Source organism: Homo sapiens, chromosome 8, assembly GCF_000001405.40.
Source record: "Homo sapiens chromosome 8, GRCh38.p14 Primary Assembly".
NCBI classification, from domain to species: domain Eukaryota; kingdom Metazoa; phylum Chordata; class Mammalia; order Primates; family Hominidae; genus Homo; species Homo sapiens.
The window spans coordinates 25,010,596-25,019,525 of NC_000008.11; positions in this window are offsets into that span (position 1 = coordinate 25,010,596).

The window sequence follows — 8,930 nt, forward strand, 5'->3', positions numbered from 1 at the left end:
TATATGGCAAAGACTGCAATATTTAGGGTGGCTCGAATAAAAGGAGCTCTCTGCTTCTTATCTAGTTAACAAAATGATAAAGGGATCCTGTCTGGCATATGCGATTAATTCTCCCTTAGGAAAGGGACATAAATTATTCTTAATTGCCGAGTTATGGGTCTGTTATAATTAAAGTTTGTTACTGGGGGTAAAATGACACCAAGGGAGCAAAGACTGGACAATCTGCCCACATGGGAATGTGTCTTCACCTGAACTTGGACCCATTTGTGAATCAGCAAAACTTTAGCTTTCTTCCTCCATCCTGTGCTCCTTCTGTTATGAAACCTCATTGGCTCCATTCTTCCCAAAAGCTTATTTCTGTCTGTGAACTTTCCTACCCATGTTGAGGTCGTATTCTGTCAGTGGAGAGGAGGACTGAGTCTCTTCTCTTTTGGATGCAACTTGAAACCTGAAAATCTGAAAGGGGAGAACATTCTCCAAATCTACAAATAGCAGATTGGCTTAATTTTGAAGCCTTCTTGTCCTCAAAAGAAAAAGGGGTGGGGTCAGGGTAGAAAGAGTTATACAGTCATTTTAGGTTTTGCACTTGGGATCAATGAAGGAGTTTGTTTGCCTTAGGATGGGAAAAACTTTTAGAGCCCCCTGGAGTTCAGTGAGCCAGATAGGTGATCAAGTCTCAGGATGAAGCCAATGCTACAGGTACTGATGATAACATCAAACAGGTCTCAGGGTCTCCAAAGTTTAGTAGGGACCTTGAGACACCATGGAGACCACTCCTATACTTTCCCAACATTTGTATATTCTCAGACAGCTAAGAACCCATCAGCTTTATGAAGCCTTCCTGAAAGAGAGGTTCTGCAGAAATCTTATCTCCCCAACTAGCATGTTAGTACTTCATGGAAAGAAACTGTGTATTGGATTGATTTTTAATTTTTTAGTTTTTAACTTTTGTGGTACATAATAGGTATATATATTTGTGAGATACATGAGATGTTTTGATACAGGCATGCAATATGTAATAATCCCATAAAGGAAAATGGGGTATCCATGCCCTCAGGCATTTATCCTTTGTGTTACAATCTAATTTTACTCTTTTAGTTAGTTAAAAATGTACAATTAAATTATCTTTACTTGGACATTGTTATATCAACATTGTGTAGTAAAGTTCTGTGCACAGTTTAGATGTTTAATGCATATTTAAGGCCTAACTGAACATGTTCCTTGAACCTTTTTCTGGCACCTGCCCTCCTTAACCCACTAAGTTTGAGAAGAAATTGGGAGATGAAAGATGGTCCAACTACCTTCCCGTCCCTCAGTTTATATCACGCTATGGTAAACTCGTGGCATCAGAAGTATTTATCCTCAACCCTCCAGCCTCCCCTTCCTAGTATCCCCTCTTAACACCAAATAACCAATGAATAGAGGAGTAGGTACAGACTAGAGAGCCTGGGCTCAGCTGCAGCCCAACTTAGCAGTGTTTCAGTTGAAAAGAACTTCTTCTCAGGCAAGAAATAACTAAGATCAGAGCAGAACTGAAGGAAATAGAGACACAAAAATCCCTTCAAAAAACTAATGAATCCAGGAGCTGGTTTTTTGAAAAGATCAACAAAATTGATAGACTGCTAGCAAGACTAATAAAGAAGAAAATAGAGAATAATCAAATAGACTCAATAAAAAGTGATAAAGGGGATATCACCACCGATCCCACAGAAATACAAACTACCATCAGAGAATACTATAAACATCTCTGCGCAAATAAACTAGAAAATCTAGAAGAAATGGATAAATTCCTCGACACATACACCCTCCCAAGACTAAACCAGGAAGAAGTTCAATCTCTGAATAGACAAATAACAGGCTCTGAAATTGAGGCAATAATCAATAGCTTACCAACCAAAAAAGTCCAGGACCAGATGGATTCACAGCCGAATTCTACCAGAGGTACAAGGAGGAGCTGGTACCATTCCTTCTGAAACTATTCCCATCAATAGAAAAAGAGGGAACCCTCCCTAACTCATTTTATGAGGCCAGAATCATCCTGATACCAAAGCCGGGCAGAGACACAACCATAAAAGAGAATTTTAGACCAATATCCTTGATGAACATTGATGCAAAAATCCTCAATAAAATACTGGCAAACTGAATCCAGCAGCACATCAAAAAGCTTATCCACCATGATCAAGTGGGCTTCATCCCTGGGATGCAAGACTGGTTCAACATATGCAAATCAATAAATGTAATCCAGCATATAAACAGAACCAAAGACAAAAACCACATGATTATCTCAATAGATGCAGAAAAGGCCTTTGACAAAATTCAACAACTTTCATGCTAAAAACTCTCAATAAATTAGGTGTTGATGGGACATATCTCAAAATAATAAGAGCTATCTATGACAAACCCACAGCCAATATCATACTGAATGGGCAAAAACTGGAAGCATTCCCTTTGAAAACTGGCACAAGACAGGGATGCCCTCTCTCACCACTCCTATTCAACGTAGTGTTGGAAGTTCTGGCCAGGGCAATCAGAGAGGAGAAGGAAATAAAGGGTATTCAATTAGGAAAAGAGGAAGTCAAATTGTCCCTGTTTACAGATGACATGATTGTATATCTAGAAAACCCCAGCGTCTCAGCCCAAAATCTCCTTAAGCTGATAAGCAACTTCAGCAAAGTCTCAGGATACAAAATCAATGTACAAAAACCACAAGCATTCTTATACACCAATAACAGACAAACACAGCCAAATCATGAGTGAACTCCCATTCACAATTGCTTCAAAGAGAATAAAATACCTAGGAATCCAACTTACAAGGGATGTGAAGGACCTCTTCAAGGAGAACTACAAACAACTGCTCAATGAAATAAAAGAGGGTACAAACAAATGGAAGAACATTCCATGCTCATGGGTAGGAAGAATCAATATCGTGAAAATGGCCATACTGCCCAAGGTAATTTATAGATTCAATGCCATCCCCATCAAACTACCAATAACTTTCTTCACAGAATTGGAAAAAACTACTTTAAAGTTCATATGGAACCAAAAAAGAGCCCACATCACCAAGTCAATCCTAAACCAGAAGAACAAAGCTGGAGGCATCACGCTACCTGACTTCAAACTATACTACAAGGCTACAGTAACAAAAACAGCATGGTACTGGTACCAAAACAGAGATATAGACCAATGGAACAGAACAGAGCCCTCAGAAATAATGCCGCATATCTACAACTATCTGATCTTTGACAAACCTGACAAAAACAAGAAATGGGGAAAGGATTCCCTATTTAATAAATGGTGCTGGGAAAACTGGCTAGCCATATGGAGAAAGCTGAAACTGGATCCCTTCCTTACACCTTATACAAAAATTAATTCAAGATGGATTAAAGACTTAAATGTTATACCTAAAACCATAAAAACCCTAGAAGAAAACCTAGGCAATACCATTCAGGACATAGGCATGGGCAAGGACTTCATGTCTAAAACACCAAAAGCAATGGCAACAAAAGCCAAAATTGACAAATGGGATCTGATTAAACTAAAGAGCTTCTGCACAGCAAAAGAAAATACCATCAGAGTGAACAGGCAACCTACAGAATGGGAGAAAATTTTTGCAACCTACTCATCTGACAAAGGGCTAATATCCAGAATCTACAATGAACACAAACAAATTTACAAGAAAAAAACAAACAACCCCATCAAAAAGTGGGCAAAGGATATGAACAGACACTTCTCAAAAGAAGACATTTATGCAGCCAAAAAACATATGAAAAAATGCTCATCATCACTGGCCATCAGAGAAATGCAAATCAAACCCACAATGAGATACCATCTCACACCAGTTAGAATGGCAATCATTAAAAAGTCAGGAAACAACAGGTGCTGGAGAGGATGTGGAGAAATAGGAACACTTTTACACTGTTAGTGGGACTGTAAACTAGTTCAACCATTGTGGAAATCAGTGTGGCGATTCCTCAGGGATCTAGAACTAGAAATACCATTTGACCCAGCAGCCATCCCATTACTGGTTATATACCCAAAGGATTATAAATCATGCTGCTATAAAGACACATGCACACGTATGTTTACAGCAGTACTATTCACAATAGCAAAGACTTGGAACCAACCCAAACGTCCATCAATGATAGACTGGATTAAGAAAATGTGGTACATATACACCATGAAATACTATGCAGCCATAAAAAATGATGAGTTCATGTCCTTTGTAGGGACATGGATGAAACTGGAAACCATCATTCTCAGCAAACTGTTGCAAGGAAAAAACCCAAACACCGCATGTTCTCGCTCATAGGTGGGAACTGAACAATGAGAACACATGGACACAGGAAGGGGAACATCACACTCGGGGGACTGTTGTGGGGTTGGGGGAGGGGGGAGGGATAGCATTAGGAGATATACCTAATGCTAAATGACGAGTTAGTGAGCGCAGCACACCAACATGGCACATGTATACATATGTAACAAACCTGCACGTTGTGCACATGTACCTTAAAACTTAAAATATAATAATAATAAAATTAAAAAAAAAAGAAAAGAAAAGAACCTTCTTCTCAGAGACCTTATTTACACTAAGACATATGTAACTGGTACGAAGATTTCCCCCAAGTAAGGGCATGTGCATTTTTAATATGAGGCTGAAACAACAGTGGTGAGGTTTCAATAATCAGACAACAATTTGGATTAAGACTCTCTCATCCATTCTCACACCACATCAGTCCAAATATTGGCTTCTACATGTGTGTTTTCCCTGAGTCTCAGAAATAAACTGAAACTCATGAGTTTTTGTTCCAAGACCAAAAATTTAGTGTAATTTGCCCCATTTAAAAAGTTTGAACCTTCACATCCAACTCATAGTTCACTCAACAGGGATAAAGTACTTGATGTCACAGGGGATATTCCAAAGGGGGAAATGGAAGCATTATAGCTCCAGGCCTGGTATGGTGGCTCACTCCTGTAATCCCAACACTTTGGGAGGCCCAAGTGGGTGGATCACTTAAGGCCAGGAGTTCAAGACCAGCCTGACCAACACAGTGAAACCCTGTCTCTGCTAAAAGTAGAAAAAACTAGCTGGTCATGGTGGCATGTACCTGTAATCCCAGCTACTCAGGAGGCAGACACATGAGAATCACTTGAACCCAGGAGGCAGAGGTTGCAGTGAGCCAAGATCACGCCACTGCACTCTAGCCTGGGAGACAGACAGAGTAAAACTCTGGAAAAAAAAAAAAAAAAAAAAAAAGCACTATAAGCTCCTGTGAAGAAACCACCTCCTCTTCCTTTGGTGTAAATGACCTGGTGGCAATGTGACTAACTGCATCAGGTAACCATATGAGGGAGTGTGGAACAAGTCACCAAGGTGTCCTGAGAACTGAGGGAGAACATAGCTCTTTTGTTCAGAGTTTTATTTACCATCCTTCCAGGACCTCTACTCGCAGACTTGCTCAGTCCAGAACCACCCAGCAGCTGATCTTAGTCCCTCAATGCATTCTATAGGGAGAGTGCCACAGGGATATCTGCACTGCAGGCTGGAGACCACTAAACCTCTAGCAGTTCTGTTGAGAGATTCTCAATAAGAGAAAAGGGTCAAATCATCACACATTTGGAAAAATGAATCTTTACATGCTTCGCGAAAGACTAACTACTATATTGTATATAAAGTAAAATAGTGCCATATGCCTGGGAAAAGTCCTTCAGATCTCAAGGTCTAGGGCATATGAGTTAAGAGAATTTTGTCCTATAACACTAGAGCAGTAAAGTGTGGGGAAGCATGCTAATCTCCCATGTTCCTCTGGAGCAGGTGCTAGAACAATGAGATTTGCACTTTCTGTAGGTCTCAGGAAGCTCTAGCAAACACTGGTAAAGAAGGGAGGAGGGGTTGTCCTAACATGAAGGTCAGGATGTACTTCCTCCTGGAGATATAGCTGTACCATTGATAGACTTCTCTCTAAACAGGCCGAAAGAGAGAAAAATCAAGGCATGGCTTGGAAGAGAGTCCACAGGCAAGTAACATGAGAAAACAAACAAATGAAATTTCCTATGTGGTCTGGAGCAAGTCACTTCATTTCTCTGAGCCTCAATTTCTTCTTCTTCTTCTTTTTTTTTTTTTTTTTTTGAGACAGAGTCTCACACTATCACCCAGGCTGGAGTGCAGTGGCACGATTTCAGCTCACTGCAACCTCTGTCTCCTAGGTTCAAGTGATTCTCCTGCCTCAGTCTCCCAAGTAGCTGGGATTACAGGCACACACCACGATGCCTGGCTAACTTTTGTATTTTTAGTAGAGACAGAGTTTCATCATGTTGCCCAGGCTGGTCTCGAACTCCTGAGCTCAAGCTATCCGCCCGCCTCAGCCTCCCAAAGTGCTAGGATTACAGGCATGAGCCACCATGCCTGGCCTTCTCTGAGCCTCAATTTCTTTATCTGCAAGAGATAAAGGTATGTCTTTATCTCTAAGATTCATTCCACTGTATTCTTATTGTCTTAGTCCATTTTCTGTTGCTTATAACAGAATACTTGAAAATGGGTAGTTTATAAAGAAAAATAATGTATTTCTTACAGGAGGCTGAGAAGTCCAGGGTCTAGGAAACACATCTGGTGAGGGCCTTCTTGCTGGTGGGGACTCTGAAGAGTCCTGAGGTGGTGCAGAGCATCGCATGGCAAGGGGTATGAGCATGCTATCTCAGATCTCTGTTCCTCTTCTTATAAAGCCACCAGTCCCACTCCCATGATAACCTCTTCATCTATTAACTCATGAATGGATTAATTCATTCATATGGATGAGCCCTCATGATCCAATCGCCTCTTAAAGGCCCCACCTCTCAATGTTGCCACACTGAGCACTAAATTTCAAACAGTTTTGGAGGATACATTCAAACCACAGCACTTATAAATCACCATTTATGGGATTTTCACTTATTAAATTGTGAAAATATATTCTAAAAACATATGCCCTAGAGAGGTTGGGAAAGTCCTTAAGTTATAAATCATCAAAATAAATAAGTCAATAAACAACCATAGACAGTTGTTATATTTGTTAGTTAGAACTGCCATAATATAGTAGCACAAACTGAGAGCTTTAAACAACAGAAAATTGTAGTCTCATAGTCCTGGAGGCTAGGAGTCTGAGGTCCAAATGTCAACAGCAGGGTGGGCTACTTCCTGGAAGGGCTGTGTCTATCCCATGCCTCTCCCCTAGCTTCTGGTGGTTTGCTCAGTCTTTGCATTCCTTGATTCATAGAAACATCACCCTGATCACTTTCTTCATCATCACATGGTGTTCTCCCTTCATGTGTGTCTTTATATGTTGAAGAAGTAATGACCAATCCCTCAGTATATGACCTTACTTGGAAATAGAGTCATTGCAGATGTAATTAGTGAAGATGAGGCCATTCTGGCGTATGGTGGACTCCTAATCAAATATGATTGGAATCATATCTGATGAAAAGTAGGGTTTTGGACACAGAGACATGCACACAGGTGTTCACAGGATGCCATGTGAAGATGAAAGCAAAGATTGTGGTTATGCTTCTACCTAAGTCAAGGGATGCCAAAGGTTGCCAGCAACCACTAGAAGCTAGATTATAGGCATGACACAGATTCTTTCCTCACAGCCCTGAGAAGGAACTAGCTCCTCCCACACCTTAATCTCAGACTTCTAGCCTCCAGAACTGTTAGACAATAAACTTTTGTTGTTTAAGACCCCACTTGGTGGTATTTCCTTACAGCAGCCTTAGCAAATTAATATATATACTATATATTTACTTTTGTGTTGTCTTTCTCCTCTTACTAGAATGTAAGCCCCATGAGGCCAGCATCTAACAAGTTAATAACATAAGGCAGATGAGTTTCCACAATTTATTTAACACACATCTATAAGGCTACACCTGTCTTGGCTCAATAAAAATAGCTTAGAACACAAGAGGATAAGCAGAATTTCATTCGAGGATAGAGCAAAATTAACAATGAAGAAATATATATGCTCTGAGCTAATATGACAGATTGGAGAAATATAGTTCAATGGGCAAGGACAGGAAAGCTTGGGTTTCTCCAAGACAAGTCTTAGAAAGGTTAATCCTTCCAGAATGGATGAAGGAGCTGACTGCAGTTCCAACTCACTAAACCAAGGTGGGAAAAGAGGAAACGGTCTACAGTGAGAGGGAAGACTAAGAAGAAGGGCTTGAGTGGACTAAGGGTTTCAATGTACCTTCAATAGTGCAGGGCATGCATCCACTTAGGGCAGGAGACACATTCCTCAACCACACAGTGTTACTGACATTTTAGAGGGGACAAATTGTTTAGCATCCTTGACCTCCACCTAGTAAACGCTAGCAATGCCCTTCACTCATTGTGACAACCAAAAATGCTCCCTCCCTTTTTCTCTCTATCCAATATACATTTCCAAATACTACTTCCTGTTGAGAACCACTGGGCTAATGTAAGAAGCGCTTGGTGTATGCCATTTGCTATCAGGCTTGGAAAGGGGAACAGCAAAAGCAAGGAAAGACTAGTCCAATGAAAGGAATGTGATGCTCAGCAGGCTGCTCACATGGGACCATAGGGATAAACATGGCAGTAGAAATGTCATTTACTTCTAGCATAGTTCAAGGTCAGGGCATACCCAACGCTGAATCCCAGAACATGGAGCTAGAGCTGCTTAAATACCTTCTGTTTTAGATTAGGTCAAAATTAGTTCCAGAAAGAGATTGGGGGAGAACCTGAAACGGATGAACAGGTGTGGAAATAGGAAGGGTGCGGAAAAGCAGTCTGGGCAGGCAGGTAGAGAAGTTAGGAAGTTGAATTTCCCCTTGCATTTCACCTGGTAGCAGCCAGCAAAAAGAGAGAAGAGTGTCTTATTCCTGTTTCCCACAGGGTTATACCACTCTTCTCCTCCCTACCCCTCCCTTTCTTCATTCTGTTC